Below are 26,118 nucleotides of genomic sequence, written 5' to 3'. Positions count from 1 at the left end.
CGGTTCTGTAGGCTGTACAGGACGCATGGTGCCAGCATCTGCTTCTGGTGAAGGCCTCAGGAAGCTTACAATCAGGGCAGAAGGTGAAGAGGTAGCCCGATGTACCACATGGCAAGAACGAGAGGAAGAGGTGGGGGAGGTAACACTTTAAAAAAATTTTTTTTGAGACAGTCTCGCTCTGTCCCCCAGGGAGTGCAGTGGTGCGATCTCGGCTCACTGCAACCTCTGCCTCCTGGGTTCAAGCCATTCTCATGCCTCGGCCTCCTGAGTAGCTGGGATTACAGGCGCAAGCCACCACACCCGGCTAATTTTTGTATTTTTAGTAGAGATGGGGTTTCACCATGTTGGCCAGGCTGGTCTCAAACTCCTGACCTCAGGTGATCTGCCCGCCTCAGCCTCCCTAAGTGCTGGGATTATAGGCATGAGCCACTGTGCCCAGCCAACACACTTTTAAACAATCATACCTCATTTGAACCCAGGACAAGAACTCACTCATTTCTGTGAGGATGGCACCAAGCCATTCATGAAGGATCCAGCGGTATGACCCAAACTCCTCCTACCAGGCCCCACCTCCAATCCTGGGGATTACATTTCAATGACGGACTTGGAGGGGACAAATATCCAAACTATATTACCTGGCAAAGCTATAAAGTGTGAAGACAGAATAGATTTGCAGATATGCTAAGATGCAGTGAGTTCTCCCCAAGTACTCCTTTTAGTAAAAGTCATTTGAGATTGCAAAATGCCTTATGGAATAAAGGGAAGAGTGGAACTAACCCGAGATTCCAAACAGAAGAAATTCCTGGATGACAGTTGTGCAGTAGGTCAAAGTTATTGGCCCCCCTTAAAAGGGGACATCAGTGGCCTCCAAAGAAGAAAAAAATGGACTTCATTCAGTAGAATAGGCTAGAATTTCTTAGTAAATAGAAAGCAAAATATTTCTTCTCTCAGAAAGCAAACAAAATTTAGAAATTCTGGGGAAAACCACAGCAAATCTAAGAAATCATAATCCAAATAGGGATCAAACCAACATGCGGCATGATGGAATGTAAGAAAGTAACTCTGATTCTGTCCTTTGGAATGTTTTCCTACAAGTGACATAGGGACTGACTGGGACACTAGCACCCTAGAGAAAAATGTCATCCTACCTGGCTTGGACTGGAACAATATTTACATCATCACGGCTGTGTAAATGCTTCTTAGGAGCTTTCAGCTTTGACAATCAACTTAGTGACAAAAAATATGATAATAGGCCAGAATATAATCTCTTTTTTTTCCTGAAACAGGGTCTTGCTCTCCCACCCAGGCTGGAGTGCAGTGGCATGATGAGAGCCCACTGCAACCTTGAACTCCTGGGCTCAAGTGATCCTCCTGCCTTAGCCTCCCAAGTAGCTAGGACTACAGTCACACACCACCATGGCCCAGTAACTTTTAAAATTTTTTGTAGAGACAGTCTCGCTATGTTGCCCAGGCTGGTCTTAAACTCCTGGCCTCAAGTGAGTCTCCTGCATTGGCCTCCTAAATTTAGCACTGGGATTACAGGTGTGAGCCACTGTATCTGACCCAGAATATACATTTTACCAATCTTGATAATATAAAAATAAAAATACAAAAATGACCAAAGGTATATTAATATATTGATTCTTTGAAAATGAGAATTGAGACATGGGCTAAAATTAAATACATCAACAACAAAAATCTTGTAAGGAGAGGTTAAAAGCAGTTATCTTCAAAAAGTAGGTCTGAGTTTATAGAGTGGAGGTAACTTATTTGTTATGAGCTCTTTAGGATAAGGTATATTTGTTTCATTTTGATCCTGCATATACATTACTTTAATTATGAGAATTAGGTTCAGGAAACACCTCTTAAGGAAGTCACTTAAAACACATACACACTCACACAGAGACCTCAGGAAATCACATTTGTATTAGCAATATTTTAGCCAGTACTTTCTGCATCTAGATTTATTTCCTTTATGATCATTAAGATTCTCACCTAAACAAGCTGCCAAAATACATTACCTCTGATTTTATTTAGATTCTAAAAGTTAGGATACAAAAAGCACATAAACATCTACAAGTACCAAAACATTTATGACCTTATAATTTTATAGTGCAAGAAAAAGGACAAAGACAGGAATACAAATAAATTATAATCTAAAGAGTTACATATAAAATGTCCTTGATTATTTGTTAAAATCTGCTAGAAAAGTAACAGGAATGTTATCAAGCCTTTCTAGACATTTTGAACACAATCTGACACCGTTGCATTTCCTGGTTGTATCCTCAGCTTAACAGGCACTGGAGACAGCCAGCTTCTTCAAATGGTCCATGAACACCTGCAGGCTAACATCATCAGTTAGGATGGGTGCTCCAGTTTCCTGAAATGTAATGATAAAGATTAGTTGGCAGATATCTTAGAAGCTGATTAGAATTCATGAGCTGTCAAGCACCTTCCCTCAGAACATTCACAGGTGTTGTCCCCTCTGCTACGAGTACTCCCATCACCCCATCCTCTGCCTCACGAACAACTTCTTTTGACTAAAGCACAATTTCCTCACAAAATCCTTTCCTGGTATGCCGAGATCAGGCCACCACCGCCTGCTAGTTTTGAGCATCAGGCGTTTTACTTTACCCTCTTCTCCATAGTCCTGATGAAGTACCCAGGGTCTAGCTCCCCACCACTGTGAGCTCACGGAGGCCCATATGCCTGCCTTTCCTCTTAAGTGCTCTGCTTACCACAGAAGCTGGATAATGGTGTACCCACAAACGAGTGAACTGGTATCTCCACTGAACAGATGGATATTTCAAATATCAGAAAAAGCTTATAATTTTATTAATGTTATGGGAAAAATTGAATAGAAACCTCAATTTGTAGTAAGATTCCAATTTTGTAAAGAAATTAAAAATATATATATATATACACACACACACAATAATACACTTTACGTAGAAAAAAGCTGGAAATAGTTAACTCTTTAAATAATGATTCTAGGTAATTTAAATTTTCTTATTTTTTAAAACATATTCAAATTTTCTAAAATGAAACCATACTGTTATAATTAGAAAAGTGTAAGCATGATCAAAATGTTTTCAGAGGATTTCGAGGAAGGAATAGAATATATACTTTTCTCTATTCCTCCCACTAAGTACAACTGAAAACTTCGGGCATCTTATGTAAACCAAACATAAGAAGACTTTTAAAGGTGGAGAGAAGACAGAAAAACTAAAGACCTTGGGACCCAAGGATGCACAGCAGTGAGTTCCTTGGGCTTTCTTATGCCTCATATACTCTGAATTTGGAGCTGAGGAAGCTGGCAAATTGTCATTGAGCACAGACTCAAACAAAACAAAACAACAAAAAACACCCACTTTCTCTAGCCAAAGGACTAAAGCAGCCTAGCAAGACAGAACAATCTTAGATAATAACCACTGTACTCCGGGCAAAAATGAGAGGAAAAACTGTGGCCCTGACCCACCTGAACCAGCAAAGGCTGGGTGGGCAGCTACAATTTCTACCCTCACAAGGCAGTAACAAGGCACCCTAATACTCCCACCAAGATGGTGCCAGAGAAGGCTAAGTATGGAACCAGGAAGTTCATCCCCAATGGCCAAGTAAAAAAATTTTCCTACCCCTGTGGTGTCAGTAGAGGCCATTTGGGGAGCCTGGACTTCCACCGCAACCTGGCAAAATATATGTCCCTCCGCCTGCCTACTGGGGTGGCCTCAGAGGCCTGGAGGAGGGTCAGGACTTTCACCATCACCCAAGTGTAACAAGGCCATCTCCACAGCGGTCTCACTGGAGGCTATGGGGGAGCTGGAACTCTCATTCCCACTAAGCAGTAACAAGAAATCACTAGACACCCCGAGGTGTCAACAGAGGCCAGTGGAAAACCTGGACTTCTCCACCTGGCAGTAATGGAGCCCACCAGTGCCCCCGACACCCCCCCCACCAACCACCTTCCCTGTCAGAGTAGTGTAAGAAAAAATCAGCGAAAAGTAGCAGGTTTAAATAAGATCCAGGGTCTCATACAAACACTCAAGTGTCCAAGTTTCAATAAAAAAATCACTTACACAAAGTGATTACCAAGACCTCCACCTGAATTAAAAAAGACAAGTGACAGGTGTTAACACTAAGTTGACAACAATGTTAGAATCACCTGACAAAGATTTTAAAACAGCCATGATAAAAATGCTTCATGAGCAATTACAAACACACTTGAAACAAATGAAAAAATAGGAAGCCTCAGCAAAGAAACAACAAGGTCCCAGGAAAGAAGTGGAAGTCACGGAGAACCAAAAGGAAATTTTGTAACTGAAAAATACAGTGACAAACAAAAAGCGCAGTGCATAGGTTCAATGCAGAAAGAGAACAGAAAAAAGAATCAATACATTGGAAGACAAAACAATAGAAGTTACCCAAATGAACAAAAGAAAGAAAATACATGGAAATGTAGTACCTGGGGTACTGCAAAAGATCTAACATTCATGTCACTGGATGTCAAGAAAGAAAGAAAAGAGAGCAGGTGAAAAGGCATTCAAAGAAATAAGGACTGAAAACTTTCCTATTTGGCAAGAGATAGAAACCTACAGAAGCAAAAAGCTGAGTAAATCAAAACAGGATAAACCCACAGAAATCCATGCCAAGACATGTCATAATTACACTTTCTTCTCTGCCCCTGCCCATCCACCCTGAAAACTAACAACAGAAAAAGACTACTGGAAGCAGCCAGAGGAAAATGACACCTTCTCTACAGGGGAAAACAATGAGACTGACAGTGAACTTTTCATAAGAAACCATAAAGGCCAGAGGAAGCAGCACAATATTTTTCAACTGCTTAAAGAAAAGGGCTGTTAGTCAGAATCCTATATGCAGAGAAAATATTCTTCAGAAATGAAAGGGACGTCAAGACATTCTCAAATAAAAGAAAACTAAAAATCTATCACCAGAAGACCTATGCTAAAAGAATGGTTAAAAGTAGGCCAGGCGCGGTGGCTCATGCCTGTAATCCCAGCACTTTCAGAGGCTGAGGCGGGCGGATCACCTGAGGTCAGGAGTTCGAGACCAGCCTGACCAACATGGAGAAACCCTGTCTCTACTAAAAATACAAAATTAGTCAGGCGTGGTGGTGCATGCCTGTAATCCCAGCTACTCGGGAGGCTGAGGCAGGAGAATTGCTTGAACCTGGAGGCGGAGGTTGCGGTGAGCTGAGATCACACCATTGCACTCCAGCCTGGGCAACAAGTGCAAAACTCCATCTCAAAAAAACAAAAAAAAAAAAAAAAGAAAAGAAAAAAGAAAAAAAGAATGGCTAAAAGATCTCTAAAAAGAAAGAAAACAATAAAAGCAACCATGTAGAGAAATATAATAGGTTTTTCTTTTAAGACTTATCAATTATGTTTGATGCTTGAAACAAAAATTATAACACTGTCTGATGTGATACTAAATGTATGCAGAGGAAATATTTAACATAATTATATTACCGATGGAGGAGAGTAAAGTGTTGAAAAGGGAGGTAAGGTCTCTAGACTTCGCTTGAACACCAGTAGACTGTGATAAGTTATGCATATATGATGTAATACCTAGGGCCTGGCCAGGTGTGGTGGCTCATGCCTATAATCCCAGCACTTTGGGAGGCTGAGGTGGGAGGATCGCTTGACCTCAGGAGTTTAGGACCAGCCTAGGCAACATAGCAAGACCTCATCTCAATTAAAATAAAAAAACCTAGGGCACTTAGGAGCAACCACTTAAAAAGCTAAATAAGGAGATACACTCAAAAACATTACAAACAAGTCAGAAGGGAATCCTAAAACATGTTCAAATAACTCATGGGAAGGCAGGAAAAAAGTACGTAAGATGAAAAAAGAAAAGCAGAAAACAAAAAATAAAATGGCACACTTAAGCCCTAACATATCATTAATTACATTATATATAAATGGTCTAAATATACCAAGTAAGAGAGCTCAGCAGAGTGCATTAAAAACCATGACCCAACTATAAGCTGTCTATAATAAATTCACTTCTTTTTGTTTTTCAAGATAGCGTCTTGCTCTGTTGCCCAGGCTGGAGTGCAGTGGCGTGATCTCAGCTTACTGCAACCTCCGCCTCCTGGGTTCAGGCAATTCTCCTGCCTCAGCCACCCAAGTAGCTGGGACTACAGGCGCATGCCACCACACCAGCTAATTTTTGTATTTTTGGTAGAGACGGGGGTTTCACCGTGTTGGCTAGGCTGGTCTCGAACTCCTGACCTCGTGTTCTGCCTACCTTGGCCTCCCAAAGTGCTGGGATTACAGGCGTGAGCCACCGCACCCAGCCAAGAGTTTTTAAAAACCTACTGCAAACAGGAGAGAGGAAATAACAATGACTAGAGCAGCAATCAATGAAATTGAAAATAAAAAGATAATAAAGTCAATGAAATGAAGAGCTGATTCTTTGAGAAAATAAAGTAAAAGTTATTCAGATTGAAAAGGAAGAAATAAAACTGTCCCCGGCTTGCAGATGACATGATTGTCTAAGTAGAAATTTCTGAGAAGTTTACAAAAAAACTCCTAAGAGTAGTAAGCGACTCAGGAAGGTCACAGAATACAAGATAAACATACCAAAGTCAATTGTATTTCTATATACAGTCATCCCTCAGTATCTGTGGGGGAATGGTTTTAGGACCTCCTGTGGATCCCCAAATCCACAAATGCTCAAGTCCCTAATACAAAATGGTGTAGCATTTGCATATAACCTATGCATACCCTCCCATACACTTTAAATCAGGGGTCCCCAACTGCAGGCCACGGATAGTACCAGTCCTTGGCCTGTTAGGAACCAGGCCACACACCAGGTGAGTGGCAGGTAAGTAAGTGAAGCTTCATTTGTATTTACAGCTGCTCCCCCATCACGTGCATTACCACCTGAGCTCCACCTCCCATCAGATCAGTAGCAGTATTAGATTCTAATAGGAGTGCAAACCCTATTGTGAACAACGCATGTGAGGGATCTAGGTTGCATGCTCCTCATGAGAATCTAATGCCTGATGATCTGTCACCGTCTCCCGTCACCCCCAGCTGGGACCATCTAGTTGCAGGAAAACAAGCTCAGGGCTCCCACTGATTCTACATTATGGTGAGTTGTACAATTATTTCATTATATATTACAATGTAACAATAATAGAAATAAAGTGCATAAGTGTGGTGATGGAAATGCTGCACATCTTGACCTTAAAAATCTCAATATCCCGGTTGTGATACTGTATTATAGTTTTTGCAAGATGTTAACACTAAGGGAAAATGGGTAAAAGATACAGGTGATCTCTCTGTATTATTTCTTACAACTATATGTAAATTTACAATATCTCAAAAAAATTTAATTTAAAAATGTTTTAAGAAAACAGAATGAAAGGAAAGACTCATCTGAGAGAGACATAAATGCTGGGAGCAGTTAGATAAAGTAGTAATCAGGCGGGGTTGGGGGAAGAAAAGGGAAGGAATTAGGCTGGAAAGTGAGGAGGCGGCAAAACCGATGGTGACAAGTTGCCCTGTATTCTTGGTGGGGAGAGGACTAGGGGCCATGAGGCTGTGTGACGGAGGACACCACCATGGAGGCCACAGTACAGTGCTCTGTCCCCTGGCCTGAACCTGGTATGTTCTGCTGTATATTGTGGAAGGGGACACACCCAGGGAGCCCCCTCAACCTCCGGCCCAGTAATGTTATTCAACTTGTTTCCCTCCCCGCCACTCCCCAGCAAAATACCCAACTTACGCAGTTATTCTGTCTCCAGGCCAAAAGAGATCCAATTTGTAGAATTTTAAAACAAGTTTAAAAAAAAACTAGCTTAGCATCCTCCCCAAATACCTGAAGATTTCTTACCTGTCCCCAAGCATACAGGTTATTGTGTGTCTGAGATGGGTTCACTTTGGACAAAAGGAATCGAGCCTTTAACAACAACAACAACAAAAAGATTTAAAGATTAAAAAGTGACATTAATATTAATGTAACAGAAAAAAGATAAGTTTTTACAACATTTGTTTGGTTAAATTAGAATTGTTTTACTGCACAGTAATCTAATTAGAATTGTTTTACTGCACAGTAATCTATTTCTTTAGCTTAAGCCCACTGGCTCTCCATTTAAGGATCCTAAAACATAAAATATGTATTTTATCTTGGCAATCCCTTTACATAAGCACATTTTGACCACTCATTTTTTTTTTTTTTTTGAGACGGAGTCTCACTCTGTAGCCCCAGCTGGAGTGCAGTGGCACGATCTCAGCTCACTGCAAGCTCTGCCTCCCGGGTTCACGCCATTCTTCTGCCTCAGCCTCCCGAATAGCTGGGACTACAGGTGCCCGCCACCACGCCCAGCTAATTTTTTGTATTTTTAGTAGAGACGGGGTTTCACCATGTTAGCCAGGATGGTCTCGATCTCCTGACCTCATGATCCGCCCGCCTCGGCCTCCCAAAGTGCTGGGATTACAGGTGTGAGCCACCGCGCTTGGCCTGACCACTCATTTAAAAAGAAGTCATATTTGGAAGATTACCTGTGTGTCAATTTATGTCATCACATAAAATATTAACCATCCTGTTTAGATGTATAGCAATAACAATCTATCATAAAACGAACAAACCACTGGAGTTAGAACTCAGCTCACTCACCTGACTGCCTCCATGCTCCGTGTTGATGTAACGTGGCATCGGGAAGCGTGCTTGCAGAATTTCTTGAGCATCATCCAGTGGTGCCTGCAGAAGGTGCTTGAAGTTTTCATACTCGGGCATGTCCTGGTAGCCAGCTTTACGCCACTGGGCTATGGTCTACACAGAAACAAACCAACCAAAACTATTGTGGAAACTGTAATAACAGCCTTCACTGACACTGACATTCTACCATCGCCACCCAGAGCTTGTTTCTAGTGAAGAAGTCTAATATCAAAAATGACAAGCTTCAGAGGGAGAGCAAAGCAGAGCTACCGGCAGGAGGAGAAGCAGGAGGAAAATGCCCCCGCCTGCGCATTCCCCCAGGAATGTCAGGCGTCACTCATGCCTCCTCTCTTCTATATCAACTAGTTAACAAAGCCCATGGATTACTCATCCCAAGGAGCGGTGGACTCCCTCCTTTTCCACTTCCACTGTTATCACTCAGTCTAGCCTCTCATCTCCGCACATCTGGTAAGGAAAGGGATTTGTTGGCTGCCCACACAGACTCCACTCCCCCATCTCCTTTCCTAACGGCACACATATTACACTCCTCTGGTGAGCAGTAGTCATACAGACTTGCGTGCAATTGTCTCACCCCCATCCCCTGCTCCCCCTGGGCCCTGAATTGGGGTACCCTTGGCAAAGGAGACAAAAGCTGTAAGAATCAAAGTATGAGTGTTGATGAGGCAGTGAGGAGAAGCCATATGCTAAACTGTGGAAAGCAGACGATCTGTCTCCCTGACTACGCTACACATTTTATCACCCTTCCTTCTTTTATACTCATCCACAACTGGTCTAGAAAATATCTTGTATACACAGGAAATCAAGAAACATTCATTAACTGATTCATATACCTTTATAAATAAAGTGAAGTGCTTTCGCATGTTATTTAGGAGAACAAGAAGACAATGGAGAGGAAAAATGGAGAAAGAGGCTACAGCAAGTGTGCAATGTGTCTTAACAGAGCCATTAATATGGCTCCAGGCAGAGGATTCTCATCAGATGCCTCCTTCTGTAGCCTGCTCACTCCTTCTCAAAGTAGCAGTTACCGTTTTCCAGGTCTAAATGCTGTGATTGACTGTTGGCCTATGGGAAATGCCCACGAGCTCACCAGGGTCCAGAAGTTCATAAGAACACTCGCGTTCAGCACGCTCAGGACTTTGGGAAGGTGAGAGCAATGTCACTGTCTTTATCCTTAGAACCCCTCACTTGCACAAGAAGGTGCTCAATAAACAAGTGAATGAACAGGATCAGGGGTTGCAAAAGAAATGTCGATAAGGAGATGAGCTTAAGGCAAAGAAAGCTTCATCCTTAGTACAGTCGGCCCTCGGTATCTGTGAGATTGGTTCCAAGACCACTCCTCCCAATACCAAATTCCATAGATACTCAAGTCCCTCATACAAAATGGCATAGTATTTCATATAACCGATGTACATCTTCCCATACACTTTAAATCATCTTTAGATTACTTATAATATCTAATACAATGTAGAAACTATATAAATCGTTCTTGTGCTGTTTTTTTGGTTTTGTTTTTTGAGACAGAGTCTCACTCTGTCGTCCAGGCTGGAGTGCACTGGCTCGATCTTAGCTCACTGAAACCTCCACTTCCTGAGTTCAAGCGATTCTCCTGCCTCAGCCTCCCGAGCAGCTGGGATTACAGGTGTCTGCCACCATGCCCAGCTAATTTTTGTATTTTTAGTAGAGACAGGGTTTCGCTATGTTGGCCAGACTGGTCTTGAACTCCTGACCTCAGATGATCCGCCCACCTCGGCCTCCCAACGTGCTGGGATTACAGGCATGAACTACCACACCCGGCCTGTGCTGTATATTTTATTTGTATTATTTTTTATTATTATTTCAAAATTATTTTTAACCTGCAGTTGATTGAATCTGCAGAGGTGGAACCCGTGGATACAGAGGGCCAACTGTACTGATACCAAAGGTTCCAGTGGGAAGAGCAGCTGGTCATCCGGCTCTCAGTCTAGGACTATTACTGACAGCCTAGCACTTGCGTGCAAGTGGCTAGCAGACTGGGTGTTAACATGCTGAAAAAAGTTTAAAGTTATAAAATACTTAGGAGTATTAGAAAACTAACACTTCCTAAGTTACTGAAGGAATCCTGAAACACAATTTATATCTTTTCACGACATCAGAAATCATTTCTAATGGTTGGCCATTAGGAAACCAAATCAATAACCAATTTAAGAAGGTAGAGATCATACAATAGAAGAAAAAGCATCACTGAATATAAATATCACCATCATCTTCATTAAAGGATTTTTTGCCATAAAGATGCAAATAATTCAGAGGAGCCATTCCCTTTCTCAGGGCATGAACCCCACTGAGAAAGAAATGGACTGAAAGCTATCCACAGCCATCCTAGGGATCCACAGACACAGCGTAAAGTTCCCTGGGCCATGTTATTTCATCAAAGTACAACCTTAGCTCTAAACACTAACTCTGAAAGAACAGCAGTATGTATATAACTCTGAAAGAACAGCAGTATGTATAAAATATTTACTGAGGAGAAAAAACTAGTTTTGCCTAACTTCGAAGGTAATAATTTACAGTGATTTAAAATAACCACCTGAGATTTTTTTACAGCATATATTATTATTATTATTATTTATTTTTTGAGATGGAGTTTCACTCTGTTGACCAGGCTGGAATGCAGTGGTGTGATCTCAGCTCACTACAACCTCAACCTCCCGGGTTTAAGTGATTCTCCCATCTCAGCCTCCCAAGTAGATGGGACTACAGGTGTGTGCCACCACGCCTGGCTAACTTTTGTATTTTTAGTAGAGATGGGGTTTTGCCATGTTGGTCAGGCTGGTTTTGAACTCCTGACCTCAGGTGATCTGCCCACCTCAGCATCCCAAAGTGCTGGGATTACAGGTATAAGCCACTGCACCTGGCCCATACTTAACAGCAAATATGATTAAAATTAATAAATATACAAATACTCCAGGGATTTACTAGAATAAAAGCCATGGTGCTTTCTAAGCCCAAACTGTGGTTACAAATGTCATTAAAAACCTAACTTAATAAATAAGAGAAGAAAACAAAAACCATAGTTAAGGACAATAATTCTCCTTGTGTGCACATTAAATGTGTATGCCTTTTCTCCAATTTAAAAACAAAAAGAAATTAATTAATTAATAATATCATCTTACCTCACCAAGATAAATGACAATTTGAAAGAAAGTATCCATCAGCAAAATTCTGTCAGCTAGAATGCTGCTGCTATCCAAGAGTACTGGCTGAAGAAAAAGAGAGAGAAAGATGGCATTGGTCTTCCCTGCTCCCCACACAGCAACCACTTCCACCCGACCCTGATCCCATGCCTGGTATCCACAGCAAAGGCTATTTACAAATGGTGCCCAGCACAGTAAGTCACCCCTTTTCTTCCTGACATACTTCCACTTTCTGCTTCTGACTCATTCTCAACTTTGTAGGAAAAATAGGCTCCAAATAATTCCTCATCAATTGAGAACGGAGATTAATGATACCTTTTTTTTTTTTAAGAGTCAGGGTGTTGCTCTGTTACCCAGCCTGGAGTAAAGTGATGTGACCCTGGCTCACTGCAGCTTCGACCTCCTGGGCTCAAGTGACCCTCCCACCTCAGCCTCCTGAGTAGCTGAGGCTACAGGTGCATGCCACCACGCCCAACTAATTTTTTATTTTTTGTAAAGACAGGGTCTCACACTATGTTGTCCAGGCTTAATGATATCTTTTGATCTTGGAACGAAAAATAATTCTGAATATTCTCAGTTTTGTATGTATTTTAGCAATCTCTACAGACATTCTCTGTAGATGAGACAGAATACGGATACCTATATGAAAAGCAGCATTTAATACAAGTTTTTAAAGTTTACTACAAAATATAAATTATGGCTGGGCGTAGTGGCTCATGCCTGTAAACCTAGAACTTTGGGAGGCCAAGGCAGGCAGATCACTTGAACCCAGGAGTTCAAAGCCAGCCTGGGCAACATGGCAAAACCCCATCTCTACCAAAAACACAAAAAATTAGCCGGGCTGTAGTGGCACGTGCCTGTGGTCCCAGCTATTCAGGAGGCTGAAGTGGGAGGATCACCTGAACCTGGAAGGCGGAGGTTGCAGTGAGCCAAGATCGCACAACTGTACTCCAACCTGGGTGACAGACACCCCATCTCAAAAAAAAATACGTTTATTATTTATTTGTAAGTAATATTTTATATTATATAAGTATATAATTTATATTTATATATACATATATAATCATATACATATATATTTATATACATAGTTCTTATATATACATATATAATTTATTATATTTACATATACACATATAATTTTTATATATGTAATTATTTCTTTTTTATTTTTATTTTTTGAGAGGGAGTCTTGCTCTGTTGCCCAGGCTGGAATGCAGTGGCGCGATCTCAACTCACTGCAGCCTCCGCCTCCGGGGTTCAAGTGATTCTCCAGCCTCAGCCTCCCAAGTAGCTGGGATTATTGGCGCCATTCCAAGCTAATTTTTGTATGTTTAGTAGAGATGGGGTTTCGCCACATTGGCCAGGCTGGTCTCAAACTCCTGATGTCATGTGATCCCCCTGCTATTTTAGTAATTATTTCAATAATAAAAGTAAGTGGTACTCGATAAAGAAAATTTTTAAATGTGTACCCAAGTACAACAAATATTGATATTTTGTTTTTTTCCATATAGTTCTTTATTTTTGCAGGGAATATTTAGAAACGTTTCTATTTTGACTTTTTTTCATGTAACATTTTTACATAAGGACTTATCTATTTTATTATGTTACATACTTTTTGTGAATACTGTTGGCCCTCCGTATCGGTGGGTTCCACATCTATAAATTCAACCAATCTTGGACTGAAAATATTTGAAAAAAATATGCATCTGTACTGTACATGTACAGACTTGTTTTCTTGTCATTATTCCCTAAACCATACAGTATGACAATTATTTACATGGTACTTACATTATATTAGGTATTATAACTAATCTAGAGATGATTTAAAGTATATAGGAGGATGTGCCAAGGTTACATGCAAATATTATGTAATTTTATATTAGTAACTTGAGTATCTAAGAATTCTGGTATCTGAGGGAGGTCCTGGAACCAATCTTCCATGAATACTGAGGGTCAACTGCATTTCTCAGGTTACTTATTTATTTTCCTATATTAAACATTCGGATTGTTATTTGATCCTCTATTATAGTAGTTCCTTTACTATTTTTTTTTTTGGCACAAAGTCTACTCTGTATCTAGGAGTCTTTCCTTCAGATACAAGACATGGAATTGTTGGATGTAAGTATACAAGCACAAGGAAAAAGAAAGCATCCAAGTTATTTCCTAGAGTTTTTTACATTTATTCCTGCCTTTCACAAATAATAGCTTTATATGTCCTTTGACATTTTCCTAAAGGTATTTTTTAATAGAAATAATGTTAAATTACTATAAAAACTCCAAATTTTACTTCTTTTTTACAGTTCTGCTAAGTAAATTTGCTTAAAAAAGAATATATGTTAGGTGATTCCAATCCTCAGGAAAGCATTTGGGTAGAGCCTCACCTCTGGTGGCCCATGAAAGGAGTAAGAGTAGAGAATGGGCTGGATCATGATGAGGGACTGGGTCAGGTCCTGCCGGGCAAAATGATGTCTGTAATATGACGACTCATCAGGACTGTTGTTAAACACTTGAAGAAATGGAGATCTTCTCAGATGGAACATAAACTGCATTCACAAAGAACGGAAAGAGAAATGCATATAATTGTAACCTTCTTAGACACCCACAGAGTAGATCTACCTCAGGGCTCTGAAATAGGAGAACCCAGAAAAGGGCTCTCTGGTTTCACAGAACAGAAAGCATAAGGGGGCACCAGGGGCTAGGGAAAGAGGAAAACTGAGAGTTGTTGCTTAATGAGCACAGAGTTTCAGCTCTGCAAAGTGAAAAATTCTAGACATCAGTTGCTCAATAATGGGAATACACGTAACACTACTCAACGGTATGCTTAAAAATGGTTAAGATGGTAAATTTTGTTATGTGTGTTTTACCACATTAAAAATTAATTTTTTTTTTTAAAGGGCCTTTGGCCAGGCGTGGTGGCTCACGCCTGTAATCCCAGCACTTTGGGAGGCCGAGGCGGGCGGATCACCTGAGGTCGGGAGTTCAAGACCAGCCTGACCAACATGGAGAAACCCCGTCTCTACTAAAAATCCAAAATTACCCGGGTGTGGTGGTGGGCGCCTGTAATCCCAGCTACTCAGGAGGCTGAGGCAGGAAAATCACTTGAACCCAGTAGGGGGAGGTTGCGGTGAGCTGAGATCAGGCCATTGCACTCCAGCCTGGGCAACAAGAGCAAAACTCCGTCTCAAAAAAATTAAAAATTAAAAATTTTTAAAAAAATACAAAATTTTTTTAAGAAAAGGGCCTCTGGGTATGTCAAAGCTTCCACAGTTAAGAGGAAAGCCAAAGAAATGTTTATTTCCAGAGTCACTGTGCCAGGCAGTGGAGACAGAATATCTGCTCTCAGAAGTCAGGCCCAGTGAGAAAGGCACACTCGGGCTACGAGTTATGAGCCAGAGTACAGGATAGCAGTGGGGAGTGGGGGTGGAGGGCCAGGAGGAGACTTCCTAGAGCTCCGGGGACTGACAGTGCACCCTGAGAGACGTGGCTGAGGAGGCCACAGGGCCAGGGGGAAGGGGATTCCAGGCACAGGAACAGCAGATGACAGCTCAGGACACAAGCTGGGATGGTGAAGTGTTGGTGCAGGGGAGAAAGGGACAAGGGATGACACTGCAACCATAGGTTCTCGCCCTCGAGGATGAGAAGAAGGGGTGGGGGCAGACTTTCAGCTCACATTAAAGAGTTGCCAGAACACGAAAATGAGCTGCCTTGTGAAGTGTAAAGCTTCCTGAGACTCCAAATATTCAATCATAGGTTCCTAAATAATAATCAAGGCTGACATCTAATACATCCTACATGCAAGTCACAAAGCACTTGACAAGAACTATTTAATCCTTCCAATAAGCCCATGAGGTAAGTTCTCTTACCATCCCTAGTTTACAGGTGAGGAAACTGAGGCACAGAGGGGCGAGCAACTTGTCCAAGGTCACCCCACTACTGAGTGTCACAGCTGGACTCTACACCTGGCCGCCTGGCTCTAGAGACTGGGCTGTTGGCCTCTTTCCTAGAATGCCTTGACAGAAGGAATCTGAGAAAGCATTTCATCTGGTTTTCAAGCTGTGCTCTTAGAGTCTTCATCAAGTCCTCAGGGGCCCAGGGATGAGGGCTCTGGTGGGACCCAGTGTGGGGGTGGTACACAGGCACAACCAGAGAAGCACCAACTCTGTCTGCTTTATGTGCTGGCTTTTAAGGGCAGCTCCTCTCAAAGAAAGGATTCCATGGCTTTAAAAAAAAAAAAAAAAAAAAAAAAAACTGCAAACCACTTCACCAGACCAACTCCCCACTGCTAGAGGTGGGAAACCAAACTCTACGGGGCTTTGGAACCTCCTCTAAGGTCAGCCCCTGCGGAGCCAGCACTGGAACCTCAACCTGACTCTGGCCGGTCCAGGGCTCTTCTCACAACACCACACAGCTTTAACCTCTGGCACATGGACACCTCAGAGTCCCAGGCACCTGCTATGGAGCTAGGTCACATTTAGTGCTGAACAGGTTACTGGCATTGTGCTAAATATTTAATACTCAGTTGGCCTCAGCTCCTGTAATCCTTATAGACACCCATGAATTGTGCTCTATTTCCTAAGTTACAATGGAGACGGAAATTCATCTACTTCTCCTGCTCCTCTCTCTTGTCCAATGGCTTCCAAAGGCTTGGTTCATGCAGAGTGCAGTTACTTTCAGGAGCTGCTTATTGCTCACTCCTGGTTATGATGCACATAATAACCACAGACATATTATTAAATATTTGTTGTACTAACTGTGGTTTTGTTTTGTTATCTTCATCTCCATGTGTGCTCATTTTCTTGGTTTGTTGCTGAGGTAGCTGTTTCCCCAGAACTTCTACACATGAGAGATATTTTTTACGGCCTTATATCAATGATCCTATTTTGCCTGTTCATGAAAATGTATGCATGAGTTTTCTCCCCTCTGCATGTCATCTCTATCTTCTGTAGGGCGTAGGGTGCTGTCTTGCCTAGACACATATTCGACTTGGGTTGAACAATCTCTGTCACCTACAGACTGAGTCTCAACACATTAAAAAGTCTTCACTTTACCCTAAGAATAAAGTTAATTTCTATCAAAATTTATTGCTCTGTAGTTATTTTAGAAACATACATTACTTACCTGAGGATATAGAGAAAAGGAATCTGATAACCTAAAAGAAGTGGGGTCTTCTTTGTTATACTGTCCAAACTTTTGACACTATGGAAAGAAAATACCAAAAAACAAACAAACACACACAAAAAGAGAGAGAAAAATCTAAGTTAGCATTACCTGGAAATATTCCTGGACTAAGCTACATCCAGTCTGAACTCTGCCACTTACTATAAGTCCTAGACTAGCACTTCTCAAGCATCAGTGAGCAGGCAAATGACCAGGGGATCTTGTTAAAATGCAGACTCTAGGGAGGAGCTGAAGATTCTGCATCTCTAATCAGCTCTCAGGCAATGCTGGCCTGAGGACTGCCCTAACCAGAGAAGCTAGGTGAGCTCTTCCAGGCACCTGTTCCATATGAAAACCCTCTAACACCATGAAAACTAACAATTATAGTTACGCTTTGATGTTCTCTCACACTAAAACTCAAATTTATTTCTCCCAATGGCAGACTTCTGAACCACAATGTTTTCTCTTCCCGCCTTTATTTCTGCTCACACATTTCTGGTCACTAAAGAATTGGACTGTTCATCATTTAAAGAAACCCCATTTCTAACAATTACTTTCTTCCCACAAAATCTGGTGTCCTTCCGCAGTTCTCGTCTTCTTGAACTTCCTAGCAGCATGAGCCAGGTGACTGCCCAAATGTCTCGAAACTTTCTCCTTCAGCTGCTAATACATCACTTTCCTATTTCTCATAATCTCTCCAACCAACCCTTTTCTGCCTTCTTCAATGGTTTTGTCTTCCTCCTCCCCCTAACTGTGGACTCCTTGGGGGTTAGTTCTTGGCCCCCTCCTCCCATCCTCACTGCTTTGGGTACAAATGAACACTAGAGCCAGATGGGTGTCATCCAAATCCACCCTCCAGTGTCCAGTGCTGACCTATAGCCTGAGCCCCAGTCAGGACATCCACCCAAATATGGGAGTTTTCGTGAGACACACTTTTGCAAGTTCACATTCAATTATCAAAAATTATCAAAAATAAACTATTACATTAAAAAAAGAGAAAAAACTTTCTCCCACCCTAAAGTTGCTCTCCTTTCCCATCTTCTACCTCAACACCACTCATGCAGTTACCCATGTGTGAAATGTCATTCAGTGCTGACTTTTTGGTTTTTGACTTTACACAGAATCATTTCATCAAGTTTTATCAATTCTTTCAGTTTACATCCTGATTTCAAACCTTCTGCTTCCTCCATCTCTCCTGCCACTATGCTGGTCTCAGTGCCATTGAGCCTGAAAAATCCTCCATTCACAACAATAGCCTTTTCTCTCTGCAATGTGCCTCACATGGTGATATTAAATGTAAACACAAGCATCATGCTGACATCAAACCCCCGCTTAACAATCACAGCCACGTCTCCCTTGCTCCCTAAAGTTAAGGAGCTCCCCAATCAAGGTGTACCTTCCCTGACTCTGTTCCCCACTGCACAACCTAGCCTCCTGTGACACTGGTTTCTCCAAAGTCCTCAGCATAAGCTAAAAGACCCAGCTAGCTCCTGCAGGCTCATTCCTGCTAGCCCTCCACTCAGCAAGCCTTGCCTTCCCTTCTCCAATTAATTCTGTAATAAAAACCTGACTCAAGGCTCATTTCCACAGGAAGTCTTTGTTAGCCACCTGGGCCCTCTGCTTATCTATCCTCCCTCTGAAATCCTAAAGAAGCAATTTTCAAATTATGTTTGAAATGTTGACACTTCCTGAAAAATGGTTCCATGAGATGGCAAGGGCAAATAGAGGGCTGAACAAAATGAAACAGGTTTCCCTACTGGGCCTTTCCATGGTGGCTTTGATCACAAACACATGCTGTGACTCTCCAGGAAGGTAAGATTATCATGTGCCAATTATTGATTTATTGCCTTGTGCTGGCTCCAAACTCACCCCCTTTGCCTGCTGTGAAATGGACATGGGCCCTTTCACTACCTCTCCTTTGCCAGCTGGCACGATATCAAGCGTTGTCAGTAGAGAGTGCTGGAGGTGAGCGTCAGCTTTGGGCGCCCGAGTGCTCATTCAGCAGCTTCCCGGGTGCCAGGTCCTGCTGCACCGTGGCTCCCCAGTGCTGAGCTCCTGGAGAACATGGCAGCCAGCAGCTAAGCAGCATCCCTGCATGTCTCCAGTGAGACATTTTCCTATACACAGCTTTCCCTGGCACCCTGGAGGGTGGATTTTCTTCAAATTCTAGAAAGTGAATTTCTAGTAAGTTCCCCTGGCACAGCACCACGGTAACTTCTCTGCAAAAGACTCACCAAGCCATGGCCATGCCCTCCCAACTAGGTCTGGATCAGCCCTGGGGAGAAGGGCACTTCCTTTGGTGCTCTATCTCAGCCCCACAAGTAGTGGCTGCCCACTTCTCTATACTTCCTTCTAGCCAGTCCCTCACTGTTCTACTCTCTTGTTGTATTCTTTATAAAAGACTTTCCCCATTTAAATTACAGTGTGACTTCTCTCATCTCATTAAATCCAGACTGATAAAAGGCATCTCCCTAAACTTACCAGGCTGGATCCCTATTTCCAAAACCACTTTCCAGATTTAGAAGAAAAATACAAGACCAGAGCATTCACAAAATGACTCATCTAAGTCAACTCAACCCACACAGATTTGTATCACTCTCCAAATGCTCCATGCGTGTTGTTTCTTCCCAACTATAATGTAAATCTCTGAGGGGAAAATGCACATTTAACACGTCTTTAACAGAATGTCCAGCGTGCAGCATAAGGTAGGCAACTGATAAATTCTTGCTGATTCACTATATAATAATAATTAAGTGACAATTTTCTTCTCGAAAGTAAAGCAGAAACCAAGACTGAACCTAATGCCACTGTCCCCAATTTACCAGTCGGATGAGTTGTCGGTCCAGCCACCGGAGCACATCGGGCCCCTCCTCTGACTCCGCTCGGAACACCCCAAGCCGTGCCATCAACACTGCCGCAGCCTCCTGGTCAAATGCTGCTTCTATGTGCCTGAGCTGACTCTGTACATCTGCCCAACTGACAATTCCAGAGTTAGTGCCATGCTTATGTTTAGGAGAGATCAGAAAGCCAGACATCCATTCAGAAAAAGAAACACAGGCTAGGTGCAGTGGCTCATTCCTGAAATCCCAACACTTTGGGAGGGCAAGGTGGCAGGACTGCTTGAGCCTAGAAGTTCAAGACCAGCCTGGGCAACAATGTGAGATCACCATCTCTCTGCATAAAAGTAAAAAGATTAGCTAGTTTTGGTGGCAGGTGCCTGTGGTCCCAGCTACCTGGGAGGCTGAAGTGGGAGGATCACTTGAGCATGGGAGGTTGAGGCTGTGGTGAGCTGTGATTGTGCCACTGTACTCCAGCTTGGGCAACAGAGCGAGACTGTCTCCAGATGATAATAATAATAATTAATACTTTTAATGAACTATATTTCCTACAGAAAGATGATTCCTCTAGGCAAGTGTTCATAGGCCCAACTGGGTTAGCCAAAAATGCCTCCTCCTCTGATCAAATAAGCTAATGAGGTCTGGTGAGAACCATTCAATGGAATCAAAAAGACAAACTAACAAATGTTAAAGTATCTCTTCAAGGGAAAAATGTCAGTCAGTTCCTCAACAGAAAGGAAACTGGGGCTGCTTACTTTCGGGCGATGGTGGTCACGCGGATGCGTCTCTGGGTGCTGGAGTGCTGATAATGCGTGACAAACTGGATGGCTCCTCTGCCTCCTTGGGGGATCGGGGTGTTGTGCTGTAGGATGAGAGGCCATAACCTTGTCTGTTATAGGCGCAACTCAAACACGGTCACAGAGCCCACTGTACTCTTCTAAAATGACTGACACAGCAATGACAGGAAGGTTCTTGACACATTTTGAAGGGCACACTTAGGATTTGCACATTTCACTGCATATAACCTTATCTCCAAAAAAGTTGAAGAACTACGTTCAATACTGAACTTAAGTTAATGATACACCTACTGAAGTGTTTAGGCATGAAATACATGGATGACTGAGGCTTGTTTTGAAATGCAGCAAAACGAAGATGGATTGATGAATCACAAACTGGATGAGTTATTGCTGATGAATTATCCAGTTTGTGACGGATTGTTAATCATTAAACAAACACAGACATGCCTCATTTATTTGCAGATTTTTTAACAAATTGAAGATTTGTGGCAATCGTACATCAAGCAAGACTATTGGCGCAAGTTTTCTAACATCATGTGCTCACTTCATGTCTCTGTGTCACAGTTCAGTAATTCTCACAATATTTCCAACTTTTTCATTATTATTATATATCTGCTATGGTGATCTGTGATCAGTGATCTTTGATGTTACCATTTTAATTGTTTTGGGGTGCTACAAACTGCACTGATATAAGATGGCAAACTTAACTGATAAATGTTGTGTATATTCTGTTGCTCCACTGACTGACCTTTCCCTCATCTCTCTCCTCCTCCTTGGGCCTCCCCTATTTCCTGAGATACAACAATATTGAAATGAGGCCAGTTAATAACCCTACAATGCCCTCTAAGTGTTCAAGTGAAAGGAAGAGTCACACATCTCTCATTTTAAATCAAAAGCTAAAACTCATTAATCTTAGTAGGGAAGGTATGTTGAAAGCCAAGATAGCTGAAAGCTAGGCCTTTTGCCCCAAAACTGCCAAGCTGTGAATGCAAAGAAAAAGTTCTTGAAGGAAATTAAAAGTGAACACGTGAATGATAAGAAAGTGAAACAGCCTTATTGCTGATGTGGAGAATGTTTTAGTAGTCTGAATAGAAAATCAAACCAGATACAACATTCCCTTAAGCCAGGGCCTAATCCAGAGCAAGGTCCCAACTCTCTTCAATTTATGAAGGTGGAGAGAGGTAAGGAAGCTGCAGGAGAAAGCTGGAAGCTGGCAGAGGTTGGTTCCTGAGGTTTAGGGAAAGAAGCCATCTCCATAACATAATGGCACAAGGTGAAGCAGCATGTGCTGATGTAGAAACTGCTGCAAGTTATTCAGATTAGCTAAGATCACTGATGAAGGTGGTGGCTACACTAAACCACAGATTTTCAGTGTAGTTGGAAGAAGATGCTATCTAGGATTCTCATAGCTAGAGAGAAGTCAATGCCTGGCTTTAAAGCTTCAAAGGGCAGGTTGACTCTCTTGTTAGGATCTAATGCAGCTGGTGACTCTATTTGGTTTTTCTAAGACAGGTTCTTGCTCTGTCACCCAGGCTGGAGTGGAATGGCATGATCTCAGCTCACTGCAACCTCGGCTTCCCAGGCTCAAGAGATTCTCCCACCTCAGCTTCCCAGGTAGTTGGGACTACAGGCGTACACCACCACATCTGGCTAATTTCTGTATTTTTGGTAGAGATGAGGCCTCACAGCATTGCCCAGGCTGGTCTTGAGCTCCTGAGATCAAGCAATCCACCCACCTTGGCCTCCCAAAGTGCTGGGATTACAGGTGTGAGCCACCATACCTGGGCATCTGGTGACTTTAAGTTGAAGCCAATGCTCATTTACCATTCCAAGTATCCTAGGACTCTTAAGAATTGTGCTCAATCTACGCTTCCTGTGCTCTACAAAAGGAACAACAAAGCCTGGATGACAGCACATCTGTGTACAGCAATTACTAAATATTTAAAGCCCACTGTTGAGACCTGCTGCTCAGGAAAAAAAAGACTCCTTTCAAAATATTACTGCTCACTGACAATGCACCTGGTCACTCAAGAGCTCTGACGGAGATATAAAGGAGATAAACGTTTTCATGCCTGCTAACACAACATCCGTTCTGCATCCCATGAATCAAGGAGAAATTTTGACTTTCAAGTCTTAAATTTAAGAAACACATTTCATAAGACTATAACTGCCATACCTAGTGATTCCTGGGATGGATCTGGGCAAAGAAAATGAAGAATCTTCTGAAAAGGATTCACCATTCTACATGTCATTGAAACACTCATCATTCATGGGAAGAGGTCAAAATATCAACTTTCACAGGAGTTTGGAAGTTTACTCCAGTTCTTATAATTTTGAGGGGTTTGAGACTTCAGTGGAGGAAGTCACTGAAGATGTGGTGGAAGGAGCAAGATAACTAGAATTAGAAGTGGATCCTCAGCTGGGCATAGTGGCTTACGCCTGTAATCCCAGCACTTTGGAGGCCAAGGCAGGCGGATCACCTGAGGTCGGGAGTTCAAGACCAGCCAGGACAACACGGTGAAACCCCGTCTCTACTAAAAATACAAAAATTAGGTGGGTGTGGTGGCAGACACCTGTAATCCCAGCTACTCGGGAGGCTGAGGCAGCAGAATTGCTTGACCCCGGGAGGCAGAGGTTGCAGTGAGCTGAGATGGTGCCACTGCACTCCAGCCTGAGCAACAGAGCAAGACTCCATCTCAAAAAAAAAAAAAAAAAGTGGATCCTGGCTGGGTGTGGTGGCTCACGCCTGTAATCCCAGCACTTTGGGAGGCCAAGGTGGCTTAAGCCCAGGAGTTTGAGACCAGTCTGGGCAACAAAGAGAGACCCCATCTCTTTTTTTTTTTTTTTTTTTGAGACGGAGTCTTGCTCTGTCGCCCAGGCTGGAGTGCAGTGGCGCAATCTTGGCTCACTGCAACCTCCGCCTCCTGGGTTCATGCCATTCTCCTGCCTCAGTCTCCCAAGTAGCTGGGACTATAGGCACCCGCCACCACACCCAGCTAATTTTGTTTTTTGTATTTTTAGTAGAGATGGGGTTTCACCATGTTAGCCAGGATGGTCTCAATCTCTTGACCTCGTGATCCACCTGCCCTGGCCTCCCAAAGTGCTGGGATTACAGGCGTGAGCCACCGCACCCGGCCTTTTTTTTTTTTTAGACGGAGTCTTGCTCTGTCTCCCAGGCTGGAGTGCAGTGGCGCAATCTCGGCTCACTGCAACCTCCATCACTTGGTTTAAGCAATTCTCCTGCCTCAGCCTCCTGAGTAGCTGGGATTATAGGTGTGCACCACGATGCGTGGCTAATTTTTTTTTTTTTTGTATTTTTAGTAGAGACGGGGTTTCACCATGTTGTTCAGGCTGGTCTCGAACTCCTGACCTCGTGATCCACCTGCCTCAATCTCCCAAAATGCTGGGATTACAGGCGGGAGCCATCACACCCGGCCTATTTTTTTTAATTAAAAAGATGAAGAAGCGGATCCTGAAGATGGGACTGAATTGCTACAATTTCATGATAAAACTTTAATGGATATGGAGTTGCTTCTTATGCATAAGCAAAGAAAGTCATTTGTTGAGATGGAATCTACTCCTCATGCAGATGCTGTGACACTGTTGAAATGACAAGATTTACAATATTACATAAACTTAGTTGATAAAGCAGCAGCAAAGTTTAAGAGAATTGATTCCATTTTTTAAAGAAGTTCTACTGTGGGTAAAAAGCTATCAAACAACACTGCATGCTACAGAGAAATCTTTCCTGGAAGGAAGAGTCGACTGATGCAGCAAATTTCATTGTTGCCTTATTTCAAGAAATTCCGGCCAGGCATGGTGGCTCACGCCTGTAATCCCAGCACTTTGGAAGGCAGAGACGTGCGGATCACGAGGTCAGGAGATCGAGACCATCCTGGCTAACAGGGTGAAACCCCGTCTCTACTAAAAATACAAAAAAAAAATTAGCTGGGCGTGGTGGCGGGTGCCTGTAGTCCCAGCTACTCGGGAGGCTGAGGCAGGAGAATGGCGTGAACCCAGGAGGCGAAGCTTGCAGTGAGCCAAGATCATGCCACTGCACTCCAGCCTGGGGTACAGAGCGAGACCCCGTCTCAAAAAAAAAAAAAAAAAAGAAATTCCCAGGTGGGGCGTGGTAGCTCACACCTGTAATTCCAACACTTTGGGAGCTGAGGCAGGCAGATCACTTGAGGTCAGTTCAAGACCAGCCTGGCCATTGTGGCAAAACCTTGTCTCTGCTAAAAATACAAAAACTAGCCAGACATGGTGGCTGGCACCTGTAAGCCTAGCTACTCGGGAGGCTGGGGTGGGAGAATGGCTTGAACCTGTGAGGTGGAGGTTGCAGTGAGCCAAGACCGTGCCTGGGTGATAGATCGTGCCTGGGTGATAGAACAAGACTTTGTCTTAATTAAAAAAAAAACAAAAAGAGAAGAAACTGCCACAGCCACTCAGCCTTCAGCAACTACTAACCTGATCAGTCAGCAGCCAACAACATCAATGTAAGACCTTCCACCAGCAAAAGAGTATGACTCACTAAAGGATCAGATGAGCATTAACATTTTTGAGCAATATAGTTGACCCTTGAGCAACACAGGTTTTTTTATTTATTTATTTATTTTTTATTATTATTATACTTTAAGTTTTAGGGTACATGTGCACAATGTGCAGGTTAGTTACATATGTATACATGTGCCATGCTGGTGTGCTGTACCCATTAACTCATCATTTAGCATTAGTTATATCTCCTAATGTTATTCCTCCCCCCTTCCCCCACCCCACAACAGTCCCCAGAGTGTGATGTTCCCCTTCCTGTGTCCATGTGTTCTCAATGTCCAATTCCCACCTATGAGTGAGAACATGCGGTGTTTTTTTGTCCTTGCGATAGTTTACTGAGAATGATGATTTCCAATTTCATCCATGTCCCTACAAAGGACATGAACTCATCGTTTTTTATGGCTGCATAGTATTCCATGGTGTATATGTGCCACATTTTCTTAATCCAGTCTATCATTGTTGGACATTTGGGTTGGTTCCAAGTCTTTACTATTGTGAATAGAGCCACAATAAACATACGTGTGCATGTGTCTTTATAGCAGCATGATTTATAGTCCTTTGGGTATATACCCAGTAATGGGATGGCTGGGTCAAATGGTATTTCTAGTTCTAGATCCCTGAGGAATCGCCACACTGACTTCCACAAGGATTGAACTAGTTTACAGTCCACCAACAGTGTAAAAGTGTTCCTATTTCTCCACATCCTCTCCAGCACCTGTTGTTTCCTGACTTTTTAATGATGAGTAACACAGGTTTGAACTGTACAGGTCCACTTATATGTGGATTTTCTTCTGCCTCTGCCACCCAAGACTGCAAGACCAAACCCTCCTCTTCCTCCTCCTCCTCAGCCTACTGAACATGAAGATGAGAGTATGAAGACTTTGTGATGTTCATTTC

General features: G+C 42.6%; 1 protein-coding gene across 5 annotated transcripts in view; it reads right to left on the bottom strand.

The window, feature by feature from the left end:
- Positions 1,616–26,118, bottom strand: part of SEC23B (SEC23 homolog B, COPII component) — a 53,868-nt gene continuing 29,365 nt past the window's right edge. For all 5 annotated transcript variants that reach the window (NM_032986.5, NM_001172745.3, NM_032985.6 and 2 more), the window contains exons 13-20: positions 20,629–20,735; positions 19,859–20,012; positions 16,998–17,075; positions 14,261–14,422; positions 11,856–11,942; positions 8,641–8,796; positions 7,858–7,923; positions 1,616–2,380 (exon numbers count right to left, since the gene is read on the bottom strand). In NM_032986.5, the coding sequence (NP_116781.1) occupies positions 2,291–2,380; positions 7,858–7,923; positions 8,641–8,796; positions 11,856–11,942; positions 14,261–14,422; positions 16,998–17,075; positions 19,859–20,012; positions 20,629–20,735 (900 nt within the window). In that variant the 3' untranslated portion in view covers positions 1,616–2,290. The remainder of the gene's footprint in view (positions 2,381–7,857; positions 7,924–8,640; positions 8,797–11,855; positions 11,943–14,260; positions 14,423–16,997; positions 17,076–19,858; positions 20,013–20,628; positions 20,736–26,118) is intronic.

This window comes from Homo sapiens, chromosome 20, assembly GCF_000001405.40.
Source record: "Homo sapiens chromosome 20, GRCh38.p14 Primary Assembly".
NCBI classification, from domain to species: domain Eukaryota; kingdom Metazoa; phylum Chordata; class Mammalia; order Primates; family Hominidae; genus Homo; species Homo sapiens.
Note: the sequence above shows the minus strand (reverse complement) of the source record. Positions and strands in the feature narration are given on the sequence as shown.